Here is an 18,146-nt window from a genome sequence, read left to right on the forward strand (position 1 = left end):
TCATCTTTAAAAAATGTAAGACAATGAGACCAGTCTGACCAACGTGGAGAAACCCTGTCTTTACTAAAAATACAAAATTAGCTGGGTGTCATGGTGTATGCCTGTAATTCCAGCTACTCAGGAGGCTGAGGCAGGATAATCGCTTGAACCAGGGAGGCAGAGGTTTTGGCGAGCCAAGATCACACCATTACACTTTAGCCTGGGCAACAAGAGTGAAATTCCATCTCAAAAAAAAAAAAAAAAAAAGACAAGTACATCAATACGGTCATTTCTTCTTATCTGTGGATTCTGTATCCATGGATCTAACCAACCATGAATGCAAAATATTTTCTAAAAATTAAAAACATAAATAACAACAATAAAAAGTAATATAAAAATTTAAAATACAGTATAACTATTTGTATAGCATTTACATTGTATTAGGTATTATAAGTCTAGAGATGATTTAAAATATACAGGAGGATGTGCATAGGTTATATGTAAATACTACACCTTTTATATCAGGGACTTGAGCATCCATGGATTTTGGTATCCATGGAGGGTCCTGGAACCAATTCCCCCTGGATACCAAGGGATGACTGTACATTCTTGATAAAAATGAAAATGTGTGGAATGTAAAAATGTATGGAAACTTGTCTAATTGGGACTCTGTGCTAAGGCTACTTCTGGCGCTGGTACAGCCCCAAGAAAGCAAAAGCTATTGCTATTATCAGCAGTAGTGGTGGCACCAGACTGGTTTTCAGTGCCCAGTGCCACCACTCCCAGACAGGCATCCCTGTCATCTCTCTTTCACTTGCTCTCTAGTGAAGGGAAGATGAGCCAGCGGAGCTCAAAGTCCAGCCAGCCCATGGTCACCAAGCAGGAAGAAGACGGCACTGAGAGGTGACAATGGGCTAATGCTAACCTCAAAGAATGAGTTAGGAAGTGTTGCCTCTGCTCTTATTTTTGGAGGAAATTGGGGAGGATGATGTCATTTCTTCCTTAAATATCTGGTAGGATTAGCTAGTGATACCATCTGGGCCTAGTACTTTCCTTTCTGGAGGGCTATTAATTATCGATTCAAATTTCTTTAATAGATGTAGGCCTATTCAGACAACCTATCTCTTGTGCAAGTTTTGGTTAGTTTGCCTCTTAAAGAATTTGTTCATTTCATCTGTGACCAAATTTGTAGGTGTAGAGTCCATAGTTTTCCTTTATTACCTTTCCATTGTCCATGGAATTCGTAGTGATGACCCTTCTTTCATTCTGATGATTTCCGTCTTCTCTATTTTTTTCTTTGTTAGGCTGGCTAGAGGTTTATTAATTAACTCTTTGAAAAGAAAATCAGCTTTTGGTTTCATTAAGTTTCTCGAATGTTTTCCTGTTTCAATTTTTTTAACTTCCACTTTAATTTTAATTTTTTTTCCTGCTTGCATCAGGCTTAAATTGCTCCTTTTTTCTCTAGTTTCCTCAGATGAAAGCTTAGATTATTGACTTAGATCTTTCTTCTTTTCTATTGTATGCATTTAATACTATACATTTCCTTCTAAGTGCTGCTTTTGTTGCATCCCATTCATTTTAATAAGTTGTTTTCCTTTTCATTTACTTCAAAATATTTTTAAAATTCTTTTAGGACTTCTTATTTGACCCTAGAACTCTTTTGGTTAATCTGGAAATATTTTGGAATTTTCCAGCTATTTTTCTGTTACTGATTTCTAGTTTATGGTCTGAGAACAAACTTTTAGGATTTCTATTCTTTTAAATTTGTTAAGGTATGTTTTATGGCCCAAAATGAAGTACATCTTGGCAAATATTCTATGTGAGCTTAAAAAGTACATGCATTCTGCTATTGTTAAATGGAGTACCGTATAAGTGTCAGTTAGACCAAGCTGATTGCTATTGCTCATCAGGTCAACTACACCCTTACTGATTTTTCTGCCTGTGTGATATGTCAATTAATAAAAAAGAAGTGTTGAAGCCTTCAATAATAGTAGTGAATTTGTCTATTTCTCTTTATAGTTCTATCAGTTTTTGCCTCATACATTTTGCCATTAGTTTGTTAGTTGCATACACATTAAGGATTGTGTACCTTCTTGGAGAATTGACCCTTTTATCATAATGTAATGTCCCTCTTTAATCCCTGACAATTTTCCTTGTTCTGAAGCTTCTTTGTCTGAAATTGATATAGCTACTATACCTTTTCTTTGATTAGTGTTGGCATGGTATATCTTGCTCCATCCCTTTATGTTTAACCTATCTGTATTTTTATATTTACAATGACTTTCTTATAGACAACATATAGTCGGGTGTTTTGTGTTTTTTATGTACTCTGTTGATCTCTTGTCTTTTAATTGGTGTTTTAGACCATTGGCATTAAAGTGATTATTAATATAGTTAGATTAATATCTACCACATTTGTAAATGTTTCATTGTACCTATCGTTTTTATCTTTTCTTCCTTTTTTCCTGCCTTTTCTGGTTTAATTGAGCATTTTATGCTTCTATTTTCTCTCCCTTCTTAGCATATCAATTATACTTCCTTTAAAACATTTTTAGTGGTTCCCTGAAGTTTGTAATATATATTTACAGCGAATCATGCCCATTTTAAATTACACTATATCACTTCATGAGTAGAGAATACACCATGCAACTGAATGTCCCAAATTCTGCCCTCCTGTTCTTTTTAACATTGTGAAATGACTGACAATGTTAAAAAGAACAGGAGGGCTTCCAGTCATTCCATTTATTTATGTCCCATAACCACTCAATATGTTGTTGATTCTATTAATTTGAATAAATGGCTTCATTTTAGGTTAACTTGGAGTAGGAAAAATGAAAACATTTTATTATATCTGCATTTATTTCTTCTCTGGTGCTCTTTCTTTCTCTATGTAAATCTGAGTTTCTGGCCCACATCATTTTTCCCTTTGCATGAAGAAATTCTTTTTTTTTTTTTTTTTTTTTTTTTTTTTGAGATGGAGTCTCACTCTGTTGCCCAGGCTGGAGTACAGTGGTGCAATCTCGGCTCTCTGCACACTCCGCCTCCTGGGTTCACGCCATTCTCCTGCCTCAGCCTCCTGAGTAGCTGGGACTACAGGCGCCCACCACCACGCCTGGCTAATTTTTTGTATTTTTAGTAGAGACGGGATTTCACCATGTTAGCCAGGATGGTCAAGAAATTCTTTTAACATTTTCACATGGAGTAGGCTTTCTGGCAAAGAATTTCCTCAGTTTTTGTTTGTTTGAGAAAATCTTTATTTCTACTTTACTTGGAAGGTTAATTTCACAGGATATGGAAGCCTACATAGGCTTTTTTTTTCTTTCATCACTTTAAATATTTCTTTCCACTTTCTTTGCTTGCATGGTTTTTAATGAGAAATCTGATGTAATTTTATCCTTGTTCTTTCACAGGTAGGGGTTTTTTGTTTTTTTTCCCTACCCCCTGGCTTTTTTCAATATTTTCTCTGTCTTTCGTATTCTGCAGTTTGAATATAAAATTGTAATTGCCAAACTAGACTCTTCTTGTCCATTGCCCAGAAAAGCCACACATTGAGAATAGTAGGAGTTGCAGGAGAGAGAGAATTTAATAATCGCAGGGCCAGCCAAGCGGGAGATGTTTCTGAAATCCATCTCCCCAAGAATTCAGAGACTAGGCTTTTTAAAGGATAGTTAGGCAGACAGGGGGCTGGGGAACAGGGAAGTGCTGATTGCTTAGGTTGGGAATGAAATCACAGGGGGTTGAAGCTGTGTTCTTGTGCTGAGTCATTTCCTGGGTAGGGGTCACAGGACCTGGTTACCAATCCTGTGGTATTAGCTGTTCCATTAGAATGCAAGGTCTGAAAAATACCTCAAACCCCAGTCTTAGGTTTTACAATACTGAAGTTATCTATAGGAGCAATTGCGGTGGTTATGGATCATGTGACCTCCAGCTACATGACTCCTGAACCATAATTCTAATCTTGTATCCAATTTGTTAGTTTTACAAAAGTGGTTTTGGTCCCAGAGCAAGGAGGGGGTAAGTTTTGGGAAGGGATTGTTATAATCTTTGTTTTAAAGTTAAACTATAAACTAAATTCTTCTCATTGTTAGCTTGGCATACACCCAGGAATGAGCAAGGACAGCTTGTGAGGTTAGAAGCAAGATGGAGTCAGTTAATTTAGATTCCTCTCACTGTCATGATTTTTGCAAAGGTGGTTTCAATATGTCTAAGTCTAGATCATTTGATATTTATGCAGCTTGGTGTTTGATGAGTTTCCTGAATCTGTGGTTTGTTGTCTGTCATTACTTTTGGAAAATTCTTGGCTATCACTACTTGAATATTTCTTCTGCTCTATTTTCTCTTTCTTCTCCTTCTCGTATTCCAATTACATATTTGTCACACTTTCTGAAATTATTCCAGCATTCTTGGATATTGTGTTCTGTTTTGTTTTTTCCTTTTTTTTTCCTCTTTGCATTTCTATTTGAGAAGTTTCTTTTGACATATCTTCAATTCACTGATTCTTTCCTTGGCCATGTCCAGGCTACTGATGAACTCATCAAAGGTATTCTTCATTTCTGTTACATTGTTTTTCATTTCTAGCATTTCATTTTTCATTATGTCTTTGAGTTGTCATCTTTCTGCTCACTTAACCATCTGTTCATGCGTATTGTGTGCTTTTTTCTTTAGAGCCCTTAACATATTAACTAACCATAGTTATTTTAAATTTCTGTCTAAAAACTTGAAAATCCATCATATCTGAGTCTGGTTTTGATGATTACTTTGTCTCTTCACACTGTGTTACTTCTTGCCTTTTGGCATGTCTTATAATTTTTTTTTTAAGTCAGACATGATAAGTCAGGTAATAGGAACTGAGGCAAATAAGCCTTCAATGTGAGGTTTTATATTAATCTGGGTAGGAAATGGGCCATATCTAATGTTTGTTCTAGCTGTAGGTGGCAGAGGTGTCAAATTCCTCTAGCGTTCTTGTTTTTCTTTCCCCTGCTTTCTCTGGGTTTCTCTGAGAACTCCTTTTTAAATAGTCTGTTTCTTGTAGTTCTTCCAGCTGTAATCTGCTCTTATTATACAGGAACCCTGTTGATGGAATGGTAACGTGTCAGAGGGGGAAGTGGTCTATAATCTTATGATTACATCTCGATCTTTTAATGGAACTGCACCTTGGGCTATTACTTTTAAAAGAATTTCTCCCTCCACCCTTTTTTTTCAATTTTTTTGAGATGGAGTCTTGCTTTGTTGCCCAGGCTATAGTGCAGTGGCGTGGTCTCGGCTCACTGCAACTTCTGCCTCCTAGGTTCAAGTGATTCTCCTGCCTCTGCCTCCTGAGTAGCAGAGATTACAGGTGCCTGCCACCATGCCCAGCTAATTTTCTTTTGTGTTTTTAGTAGAGACGGGGTTTCACCATGTTGGCCAGGCTGGTCTCAAACTCCTGGCTTTGTGATCCACCCGTCTCAGTCTCCCAAAATGCTGGGATTACAGGTGTGAGCCACCGTGCCCAGCCTCACCTCCACCCTTTTTAGAAGTGACAAGATGGCCAGAAGGGGCTAGATTTTGGTAGTCACCCTTCCCCTAGAATGGTTAAAGCATTTTCCCTGGAGAGCAGGCCCTTGTCATGGAGAATGCTTTGGCTTTTTAAAAACTTTTCTTTTCCCTCTTCTTGCCAGAAGGATAAAGAGATTTTTCTTGGGGTTTGTGGAGGTAAAATCCATAAAAGGTTGGGGGCCTGCCCTGAGATGATGACCCCCAGGAGTTTCTCATGCTCATGCTCCTCCACACTCAGCCTCCAGCAATTCATCAAACATACCAGGCTATGACTTCAGTGCCTGCTGCCTCAGATAGTTGATCTCGGCTAATTCTCTGGATTTGCCTGTATCTCCAGATTTTGGGGCAGTTTGCCTTGTGACTTTGGTTATTTGAGAGATAGAAGAAAAGTTGTTAATTCATAGTTTGTTCAGCAGGGTTGTTGTTGTTGTTGTGAGGATGGGAGCGATGACTTCCAATGTCTTTGCGTGTTGAAGCTGAAACCAGAGGTCTAGTGAACTTTTACATTTTTGAAGTTTAGACTTTTTTCTTAAGACAAACTTTCTTTTTGTTTTAAATTTTGGTTTTATTATAGTATTATCTTATAGCCAGAGCATGTAACCTGTTCAATTTCTCTTCATTATTATTTATTGAAATTACTTCAGGGCCAAATACCTGGTATGATCTTGTGTGTTTAACACAGTGTTATTAAAAATCAATTTTGCCAGTTTTTAAAACTTACATTTTGTGTATCTTTGTTCTTTTATTTTTATCTACTTGAGAAGCTAAGGACTGGAAGTAAGATGTTTTTTAACAGCCTTGAAAGATTTCCCCATTAGTAATCTTTAATCTTACTTTTTAAATGTGAGTATTGAGAATTTTACCTTCTTTCTCATTTGTATTTGCTTAATGAAACTTATCCATCTTTTGACTGTTAACATTTTTAATGTTATTTTATCTCTGTTATGTCTCTTGTAGTTAGATTCTATTTTGACCATTTATAATTTAAGATGGTAGCTTAATCTGTTTTAAATATCTTGTTGCTTATGGATTTTTTATTTTTATATTTTATGCCTCTTTATTTTCTATAAGAAAAAGAGCATGTTTTTCTTTCTCATTATTTTGTAAAGTTTGTAGCCTCATTTTGACTCTATTTGTTACACTTGGGTTTCTAATTAATTCTTTAATGTATATTTCTCTAACTGAGACCATCAAATTTATAACTATATCATTTGAATTTGTATTTGAAATAAGTTACTTAACTCAATTTTTTACTTGTCCTCACTCAATTTAAAAAACTTTACCAAGATATCGCACCACTGCACTCCAGCCTGGGTGACAGAGCGAGATTCCGTCTCAAAACAAAACAAAAAAAACATTAAAATAGAATCTAAAGTTTAAGATTGAAATTACTATAATTTTATTATATGCAGTATATATCCTCTCTTTTTAGAACAGTGCTTCTCAAGTATTTGGGTTCAGGATATTTTTATATTTTTAAAAATTATCGAGAACCCCAAAGAACTGGCTTTTGTTTATTGGGTTATATCTGTTGCTATTTACGATATTAGAAATTAAAACTTTGAACACTTAAAATATGTATTTATTCATTTAGAAATAATAGTAGTGAATTTATTACCCGTGAATATGTGATGTGTTTTTATGAAAAATAATAAAACTTTTCAAAATAGAAATAAATTAGCCAGAGGATTAGCATTGCTTTACATTTTTATACGTCTTTTAAATATAAGTAGAAGGCAGCTAGACCCTCCTATCTGCTTCTGCATTCAATCCGTTGTGACATCACAGGCCATTTAGCCTCTGAAAAATTTCATTGTATATTCATGAGAGAATGAGAAAGATAAAGGGAAAATAATATGTTATTATGTGAAGAGTTTTACTTGGTGACACCTGAAAGGGTCTTGCACAATCCTAGGGGGTCCCTAACCCCACTTTGAGAATTACTGTTCTAAGATAATTTATACATTTGAGACATCAGTATTGTAACTGGTTTTAATGATGCTTCCAGTTCCTCTACAATAAGGCTTTACTGATACTGATTTCTTGATTCTGTTAATGTAGTACATCATCAAATAATTCGTCCTACACAGTGTCAGTAAAAATGGAGTAGGGTGATCTATAGGAACAAACAATTCCCAAATCTCAACGGGTCACCAGCCCTCTGCACAGAGGACCCTCATCCTGGACTCTGTCTCTGGCTGAGGAGCAGCCACCCCATCTGAAATGACAGTCACTGTGGTAGAGGAACAGAGAGCATGCCTAACCAGGTGCTGCCTCTGAGCTCTTCTGCCAGAGTGATACCCATTGCTCCAAGGGAGGTACAATCTTACCTTGGCCCAGAAGAAAAGAACATTGAAAAATGTGTGACCAACACAGAAGGTGCATGAGCAAAATATTCTTTGAGTCCTTGTCTATCTAAGTATTGATTCTGCCCTCATACGTGAATCATTGAATAAGGTATACATTTTTCCATTTTAATTTTTTTGGACCCATTCTCAAGAACTGAATGGGTATACACTTTTTTTAGTAGTTTCCTCTTACCTCTAGGTTTATAGGTTTGCATCATTGCTTTAGACATTTAGGGTTTCAAATTCACTTATTTTTCCCTTTAGGGCTTTTCCCCATATGTTCTGGGAAATTCTCCCTCCTTTATCTTATAAAAATTTTCATTCACTTTTTAAAAATTTCACAATCATTTTGAATTTCCAAGGTCGTTTTATTTTCTGGTTGTTTCTTTTCTGCATGGAATTTTTGGTACAATATATTCTCTTTCTGTGTGATAATATTTGTTGTTTAGAAATTCTTTTTTGTTCCCTGAAACATCTGTATTTCCGCTAGGGTAATTTTTTGCCTTTTGCTTATCTTGGTTTTACTCCTTAATGTTGTAGGTTTCCACAAATGCTGTGGTCTGTTGTAGTCTGTTCATGCTTACCAGCAAGATGCTGAAAAGTAAACTTGAAACTCCATTTAATGAGATGGGCTTGCAAACTTGTGGGCTTCACTGAGCAAATACCAAATCCCTGAAGGTAAAGGCCTTTTCTCTGAGTCATTTATATTTTTCTTAAGAGGAAACCTCCAGTCTTCTGCCTGATTGTGGGTGTTCTGTGTCGTAGAGCAAACTGTTTTTAATTTTGCCTTTGGAACAATCTCTCGATTTTCATCTCTGCATCTCCTTCTCAACCACCACTGCATCTCTGGGAGGCTGCAGGACACGCTGGATCCTTTTCTGACCTCAGGAAGCATCCTCCACCTTCAATAGCAATGAGTACCCCTCAGACCACTTTTTCTCTTTCATACTTAGGTTAAAATTTCTCATCTAATTCCTTTCTCTTCATCATTGTAACTTTAATTCCTTTACTGTCATTTTAGGAGATATTCTAGTGAAAGAGGAGAAAAACAGTTGTCATTAATCAACGATTTTAAACCAGAAGGCTTTTTCTTTTTTAAAAGAATTCAATGGATAAATGGTGCATGTCTGGAGAATGGGAAATTTTAGTGATCCTCTATTCTATCCTGATGCATGTTTAAGGAATGGAAAGTCCCAATGACCATTTCCTGGTGGGATAAAAAAAATCCTGGAAGTCTTCATACCGTTTAGAAATACAGATAAATTTGTTAAGGCCTATTAGCAAGGGGAACAATTTAGCAAGTAGGAATCAGAACTACAAACTTTTGTGATTAAAAATTAGTTTCCCAGGCACAGCCTTAATGTCTGAAATCCAGAGGTCTCCAAGTTTAGACAGATTAATGTGTCCTAGTTTTGCATATCCACACAAATCTCCATGTTGGACCAGAGAAAGAGTGATTTTCTTGTGACTGTTTTTTTTTTTTTTTTTTTTTTTTTGAGATGGAGTCTTGCCTCTGTCACTCAGGCTGGAGTGCAGTGGCACGATCTCAGCTCACTGCAAGCTCCGCCTCCTGGGTTCACGCCATTCTCCTGTCTCAGCCTCTCGAGTAGCTGGGACTACAGGCACCTGCCACCATGCCCGGCTAATTTTTTGTATTTTTAGTAGAGACAGGTTTCACCATGTTAGCCAGGATGGTCTCGATCTCCTGACCTTGTGATCCGCCTGTCTCGGCCTCCCAAAGTGCTGGGATTACAGGCGTGAGCCACCGCGCCCGGCCTTCTTGTGTATTCTTAATCAAACCTTACCAGATGAGAGTCTTTGAACCAATTTTATGATGCAGAATGCCACCCTCCTTTTGCAGTTACAGATGGAGGAGATACATCTCCTTTACATCTCCTGAGATTTCCTCTCTTTGTTGTTAACTAAGAAGACTTGCAGTTCAGTGTTAGGTTCTGTAATATCTCAGCCAGATTTTTATTTCTTTCTCTGTAAGTTAAAGTTCTCCAGAGAAACAGAACCAATAGGATGTGTATATACAGAGAAAGAGATTTGTTATAAGGAATTGGCTCTTGCAATTATGAAGGCTGGCAAGTCCAAAATCTGTAGTGTGGGCCTGCTGTTTGGAGACCCAGGAGAGCTGATGGTGCAGCTCCAGTCTGAATGCAGTCTACTAGAGGATTCTTTCTTTCTTGGGGACACTAGTCTTTTGGTTCTATTCAGGCTTTCAATTGGTTGGGCAAGCCCCACCCACATTATGGAAGGCAATCTGCCCTACTCCAAATTCACCAATGTAAATGTTAATCTTATCCAAAAACACCCTCAAAGTTGGCATATAAAATTAATTACCACAGTATCATGTCAATTCCTATAAAGATTTTGACATCTTTTAATTGCATATTTTCCCTAGAGAGTTCAGGTGAAGGTCTCTTTATAATAGTTTGATTGGAACAGGGTGAGCCTTTTTACTTCTATGTACAGGTCTTTCTTAAGTTCACTGTTTTCATCTTTTCCACCTTGATTTTTCCCAAAATAAATAAATTCCATTCATTCTGGTCTCCCTACAAGAATGCTTATTTTATACATGTTGGCTCTCCATTGGCCATCCTTCATGTCTAAAATCTTCTAACCACCACAAACCTCTTGGAAACTCAGTGTCTACTTCCACGTTGTATCTTTGTTTCTTAGGATGGTCGCAGAGATCCAGAACGTAGAGGGTCAGAACCTGCAGGAGCAGGTTTGCCCTGAGCCCATTTTCAGGTTCTTCAGAGAAAACAAGGTGGAGATTGCAAGTGCAATAACAAGGCCATTTCCTTTCCTTATGGGCCTCCGAGACCGCTCCTTCATCTCCGAGCAGATGTATGAAGTAAGTAAGAATTTCCAAATGATGATAAACCAGGTCCATACTCAATTATGCCAAACTTCAAGATGCAATGAGCAGGCTAAAGGGCCTCCTGTGAGTGGGGACCTTCACCATTCTGTAGGTTAGGAGGTGACAGGAGAAGCAGGCATCACAGAAAACCTCCCTTCTTCTGTAGTAAATGTTGGGGGAGGGCCACAGTGAGGGAGGTGGGGCAGGAGAGAGAATGGGAATGCTGTATGGGTGCAGATCATCCTAGGTACTTGTAAACAATCTACTAATGGTAGCCATAATTAAAATAAATAAGTGACCTAGGCAGCATTTTATTCCAAAGCCTACTTATTTGAAACACTTGAAACTGAGATTTTTTTGAAACTCACAGTGAAGTTGTGTCATTTTAGGTTACATTTGGAAGTGGATGCTTGCTACTGTCTCTCCAAATCATTGTTTGATCTTTGGACATTTCTAGAGCCCTAGAATGCAAGTTAATGTTAGCAGTGGATGCCCTTAGGGATACTGAGGACAAGGCTTCTTCTTGTCTTTGTGAATTTTCTGTGCCCTTTGGCCAGGAGTCATAGTGGGGGCTGGTTGATTGGTTTCCTGGAGCTCGTCAGGCCAGGCCAATCCTAGTAGTGGTTATTGTCCATGCAACAGAACAGCCTTGTTAAGGCCACTCCTGAAATAACCTGGCCAGGCTCTAAAGCCATACACAACATTCAACTTTGAACCCACACTTATTATTTAAAATTACTCTCTCCCCTTAAGTGTACAACAATGTCAGAGAGTCAGGTTCAAAAAATTAGAGTGTATTTTTATGGTGGAGGACATTTAAGAAGTCATCCAAATATACGCAAAATTCTAACATTTCACAAGAGAACAGATGTTCTATCTACAACCTAAAAGTCTTTTGTAACCCATAAATCTCTAGCTACATAATTCTCCATTTAATATTTTTAAGCATTTTCAAGAAGCTTTTAGAAACCTGGTCCCAGTGACAAGAGTGATGTATTGTGTACTCAGTGAACTGGAGAAGACATTTGGCTGGTCACATCTGGAAGCATTGTTCAGCAGGATTAACCTGATGGCCTATCCTGATTTAAACGAGATTTACAGAAGCTTCCAGAATGGTAACTATAGCTCTCAACAGCTTTGGGGGATTCAAGCCCATTTCATTCATTGATTCATTCATTCACTCTTCATTCATATTTGACAAATATTTGACTGAGTGACTATTACATGCCAAGCCCAGGGGGAATATAATGATGAAAAAACACACATGTCCCATGTCCTTATGGAGTTTACATACAGTGGGAGTGACAGACGTTAACCAAGTAATCCTGCAAATGGTTGCTCAGCCAGGACTTGATTTTGATGCTGTAAAACATAGGGTTGAAGTCTCTATTTTTTTGAAGGAATACATGAGTGATGTCTTTTCATGGGAAAGGAGGAAGCCTTCTCTGATATTTGCAGATATGTTCAAAGATAAAACAATTTTCTTTGTATTAGAAAATTTATCATCCAGTGCAGTCCTGTGTCAACTTGTTTCTCCAAACAAAGACTGGAGAAGTCACGAAGAGAGCCTAGCACATACTGGTACACTGAGGAGGAGCTGCATGTGAAAGCTATGAAGACAGAAAAGGGGGTTGGTGGGGGCCTTTCCGAACCATGTGGTTGAATTGCAGACTGTGGGAGGCAGGGTGTGAGAGCTGACTCTGGAGAAAGAAGTTGAAGTGGATTCTGGAAGGCTTGACACCCTGTGCTAAGGAATCTGGAGTTTAATTTTTGGAAAATAAAGAAGGAATAAAGGGCATTTAAACGGGAAAAGTAAAAGAAGTCAGTATGAAGAATGGGATGTGTTGATTTGTGAATACTATACCTTGATTCAAAAAAGAGGTATCTTGTTTTCATATTATGATACATCCAAGTCAGAGAAAGGTCTAGAGGAAGTCAAATACTGTGCATGCCTCCTTTGGTATCCATGAGGGATTGGTTTCAGGAATACCCACCACTCTCAGTCCTGAATGCTTAAGTCCCTTATATAAAATGGCGTAGTATTTGTGTATAACCTATGCACATTGCACCAGTATACTTTAAATCATCTCTAGATTACAATACCTAATACAATGTAAATGCTATGTAAATAGTTGTTAAATTGTATTTTTCATTTGATTATTTTTAATTTTTGTATTGTTATTTTATTTATTTATTTATTGAGATGGAGTTCACTCTGTCACCCAGGCTGGAGTGCAGTGGTGTGATCTTGGCTACTGCAACCTCCACCTCCTGGGTTCAAGTGATTTTCCTGCCTCAGCCTCCTGAGTATCTGGGATTACAGTCACCCACCACCACACCCGGTTAATTCTTTTGTATTTTTAGTAGAGACAGGGTTTCGCCATGTTGGCAAGGCTGGTCTTGAACCCCCGACCTCAGGTGATCTGCCTGCCTTGGCTTCCCCAAATGCTGGGATTACAGACATGAGCCACCATGCCTGGCCTGTTATTATCTTTAACTTTTGTCCCACGTTTTTAATCTGAGGGTGGGTGAATCCACAGATCCCAAGCCAACTGTACCTAGGCACAAATTTTGAGTCAATATTTGTATTTTAACCAGGGTGTTCCAGGCTGTGGCAATGAAGGGAATGATGTTACTTCTACTGCCCACATCTCAGGGGCTCTGATTCTGTCTGTGGACTGTGGGGATCCTCCTGGCCCCAGCATCCACATCTCATATGTTAGTATCTGGCACTTCCTGTGTTTGGGTGACAGGTACCTGAGGCTCACGACTGCCCACTGCCTCAGACTATGAGTAGAAATGTGAGAAATGGGCAGAAGTAGAATGAATTGTAAAAAGATTGAAAAAAGAAAAAATAAACCTCTACTTATACTACACAACATCCACAAAAAAATAATTCAAGTTGGATCACAAATCTAGAAGTTAAGACTACAAGTATAAAGCTGCTAAAAGAGAAAACATAAGACAGTGTGTTTGCAAACTGAGAGTAGGCAGTAATTTGCTATACAGGACACAAAAAAACATGGATCATAAAAGAAAAACTTGGTAAGTTAGATGTCAACAAATTAAAAACTATGCATCCAAAGTCACCATTAAGAAAAGGAAAAAACAAGCCATAGACTGGGAGACAATATTTTGCAATACACATATCTAACAAAGGATTGTACTCACAAAATATGAAGAACTCCTATAAATGAATAATAAAAGGACACATCACCAATTCAAAAAATGGACAAACGATTTGAACAGACATTTCAAGACAGGAGATATAAAATGTCCAGCAAGAATATAAAGTGTATGACATTATTAATCATGAGGGAAATGCAAATTAAAGTTATAGTGAGATATCATTCACTCACTAGAATTGCTAAAATTAAAAAGACTGACAATACCAAGTGCTGATGAGAATATGGAACAATTGGACCTCCCATCCCTTGCTGGTAGGAATGTAAAATGATAACGACCACTTTGGGAAAGTGCCTGGCAATTTCCTATAAAGTTAAATCTAACCTATGATCTTGGCAGTTTCACTCCTAGGTATTTACATGAGAGAAATGAAAATATGTTCATGCAAAGATTTGTTTAAGAATGTTTATGGCAGCCTTATTCATAATAACTAAAATCTGGAACCAACCCAAATGCTCATCAACGGAGGGTAGATAAACTATGACTAATTTATAGAGTATAATACTATTCAGCAATAAAAAGAATGAACTGTTATCACATAGAGCAACATGGATAAATCTCAAAAACATTATGTTGAGCAAAATAAGCAAGTTGTAAGAGTACATACTGCATGATCCTATTTATATAAGTACAAGTACAGACAATACAGACAAGTACAGTGCCAGAAAGGAAGGCGCCATTGCTGGTGATAGGAACCAGAACAGTGGTGTCTTAAGCACAAAGCAATTTTCTGGGATGGTGGAAATGTTCTGAATCTTGACTGGGATGTTGGTTTCACAATGATTTACACTTAAGATATGTGCCTCTCAATGAAAAAAAGGGGAACAAGGCTCTGTTGGACCTCGGGGGTGGGAGATCCTGGGGCTTGGACATCAAGTTCATCTTGAGCACACTGAGGTCTCTCCTCTGGTCACTGTCTGAGTTTGGTAATTTTCACATTGTTTTCCTCAGTATGCTATGAACACTCACCTCTCCAAATGAATAATGTAAACGATTTAGAAGATAGACCCAGATTACTACCATATGGTAAACAAGGTAACTATCATTTAGCTGATCAATGCCCTTATTAAAGTTTTGCTTCCTTGCCTTCATGGAGGCAAATCTTGTATTTCCTCTCCTGTCTTAGCCCTCTGTTATCTCCCAGTCCTCCTCCCCTCACACAGCCATGTACCTGCCCTTATCTGCCAACAGATGTGAGAGAACCAATGAAAAAGGAGATCTGATCTCTTGAATAGATGGAGTCTCCATTGGTGGAGAATATAAGAAGAGAAAATGGGAAAGGTAGACAGAGAATAATACAGGACAAATTACATGAATGGATTCCATCTTCTAAAGGAACATAAAAGTCCTACCCTCCGAGGTTGAGATAAGGGGATTATTTTTAATTAATTTCATAGAACTATTAAGAGAAACTCAGAAATAACCTAAGCCATATCAGATTCAGGTGAGAGATATTCCTTACGGAGATGACCAGTTAGGGGTCTCTAGTACTGTGGTCACAGTCCAAGAGGGGAGTTTGGATATGGAGAGAGAGGGGAGCCTGAAAGATAGAATTGCGCAGGGAGACAAAACTGAAATAGTGTTGGCAGATAGAAGATCAAAGTGAAATGGGAGAAACAGAAATGGAAAGAGAGGAAGTATAAGACACAGCAGAGAAAAGGTAAACCGAAACATCTGCCAAGGATCAGAGGTAAAAATGGAGAGAGAAGTATATGGAAAAGGAAAGATGAGAGGAAAATAAATACCAAGAAATGGGGAAAGTAGAGAGGTACAGAGGCAACTATGTAGATAAAGAGTTAAGAAAAAAAGGGTGTAAAACACTTGAGAGTGAAAAGTGGATAAAAGGGAGAGAGAAACAGACTGGGACAGTGTAGGTTTGAGGTAAGAGCACTGGATATCCATAACTTTACAAGGGTTTATTCCATTAACCGTAAGTTTTCAGAATGAACTGTTCCCACATCAAAGTGGCACTTGCATGATACTCAGATTTCAATAGATCTCTCCCAGAATAGTCCAATGATTCCCAAGCACAAATCTCCACTCTAAATTATCTTTAGAGTACATTTATTCATGGACCTGAGGACCTTTACTCAAGGGTCAGATAGACATCTACACTTGATTTTTTTCAAGAACCTTAAACTTGGTACTTTGAGAACTGAAAGCCACATCTTCATTGCTCAAGTTAGATCGAACTCCTCTGCAGCACTCTTTCTCTCAGAGACGGATCACTATTATCCCATGGTTTTTCAAGTTGGAAACCTAGTCAAGTCATCATGGATGACTCCTCCCTTGCCCTCAAATACATGCCAGTTATGCAGCCAATGTAATCATTTCATCTTCAGGTTGCCCCTGGCCTGTCCATCTTTGCATCCCCAAGACCAGGTCTCTGGTCCAGATCTCCATCACCCTCATGATTCTCAGGGCAACATCCTTTGCTCATCTCCTCCCTCTAATCTTGCTTCCATCAAATGTGTTATTTGCACTTCAACTAGATGGGATATTTTAAAGTGCACATCAGATTGTATCATTTTCCTACTTACCTCCTTAATACACTAAGGATTAAATAAATGGGTTTTTAAGTAGCATCCAAAGGCATCCACAATGAGCCACCTGCTTACTTCTCCAGCTTAATCCCTGCCTCCTGAAATATTACTTCAAGGTGGAATAAAATTTCCCCCAATAATTTCAATTGTTAAATCTCTCTTTCAAACTGAGCCTTTCCCTATGTTTTCTCTATGCTGCCTTATTTAGAATTGTTTTCCTGTCCCACTATCCTCCATTTACCCTTCTCCAATCCAGCTAAATCCTACTTAGAATATATGATCAAAGGGAGGTCTTTCTTTAGAGAAAGCTAGAAAGGCACAATTGGGAGACCAAGGATGGGAGAGAAAGAGCAGTATCAGAGAAAGCAAGAGAAAAAATTTGCAGGAGCAGAGAAGAGAGAAATGCATCTAGGAAAGAGAGGCTCCAAGAAACATCCGCAGAAAAAAACAGAGGCAGAGATTGAGGAAATGTACAGAAACAGGTGGAAAGACATGAGTGAGAAAATGGGAAAGAGAACAAGGTATAAGGAAAGGAAGACTCCCCCACAGTGGATGAATTATTCTCAGCCTCTGGTGAAGGTTACTGAAGGACTGAATCCTCAGGTCAGGTTGTTTGGGGAGAGGGGACCTTCCAGATTATCAGGTTTTCTTAGTTTTCTCATTATTTGTTTTCTTGTTTTGATGGCTTTTTGACCATAAATCAAGACATCTAAGGGATTTCATTCCTTTCGGCAGAGAACAGCAATGCCTGTCATGAAATGGATGATATAGCAGTGCCTCAGGAAGCCTTGAGCTCCTCGCCAAGGTGTGAGCCAGGTAAGGAAGGAGTGACTTGCTCTCCCTGACCTGCAGGGTGTCAGGAGGTGGAATTCAGAGCTGGTGTTTCCTAATGCATTTTACTCTGAGTACATGCCACAGGCAAAAGATCCATTTTGTCCTTGGATCCTATAATTCTGCTAAATTTTCCTAAGTGTATGTTATAGTAGAAATATGCTAGAGAAGGATGATGTCTTTCATGTCTACTAATAATAAAAACTTGATTATACCTACCCACCACTTACTTTCTCTAGAGAATAAAAACGATTATTGTTTGTTACTATTATTATTTTGTCCCTTACTATAGAAAGCCTTCAAAAGAAACATGTTCCATCAGACCAACTACTCGAAAAACTAAATGATAATTTTTGCCAAATATTTTCCATTGTGTTACTATCTTATCTAGTTATTGTTCAAAGAATTTTGGCAAACAAGATGTCATTTTATCTCCACAGCTTATGAATTTTGATGGATAAACTTTTGCTTATTTGTATTTTATAGCTAAATAAAGTAGAAGTAGAAGCATAGCAATGTGTAAGGTCTTTTACCAGGTCAAATTAGTCAAGCAAGAACATGACCCACATCCCTGCTGACTCACTGCGGTGATGGTTGTGTGAATTTGGCAGAGATCAGGGTAGCCAGGGTCATGGATTGGAGTTCACACAGGAGACCCAAGGAGGCCTGCAGGTTCTTAGGGGAGTGGGCCAGGGCCTGGTGCAAGGAGACTCTTATTCAGCAAAAGCATTTCCATGGCCAGAGCAGGGAAAAGCAGAGAGAAACGGTAAGATTGGAATCTGCCATGTGGGATGCAAGAAATCCAGAAGAAGAGAACCAGAAAGAAAAATGGAGACACAAGTAGGAAAATGTGAT

The 18,146-nt window shown here is 38.1% G+C and overlaps 1 protein-coding gene across 37 annotated transcripts in view; it reads left to right on the plus strand.

Annotated features, from left to right (window-relative positions):
* Positions 1-18,146, plus strand: part of SP140 (SP140 nuclear body protein) — a 130,421-nt gene that overhangs the window by 40,385 nt on the left and 71,890 nt on the right. For 35 of the 37 annotated variants that reach the window (XM_047443073.1, XM_011510517.4, XM_006712223.4 and 32 more), the window contains 4 exons: positions 10,548-10,725; positions 11,678-11,846; positions 14,869-14,952; positions 17,196-17,276. In XM_047443073.1, coding sequence (XP_047299029.1) covers positions 10,549-10,725; positions 11,678-11,846; positions 14,869-14,952; positions 17,196-17,276 — 511 coding nt within the window. In that variant the 5' untranslated portion in view covers position 10,548. Of the gene's footprint in view, positions 1-8,402; positions 8,541-10,547; positions 10,726-11,677; positions 11,847-12,225; positions 12,544-14,868; positions 14,953-17,195; positions 17,277-18,146 lie in introns of those variants that run through there. The other 2 variants (XM_011510518.3, NM_001005176.3) reach the window with 2 other exon arrangements.

Source organism: Homo sapiens, chromosome 2 (assembly GCF_000001405.40).
Source record: "Homo sapiens chromosome 2, GRCh38.p14 Primary Assembly".
Classification (NCBI taxonomy): Eukaryota; Metazoa; Chordata; class Mammalia; order Primates; family Hominidae; genus Homo; species Homo sapiens.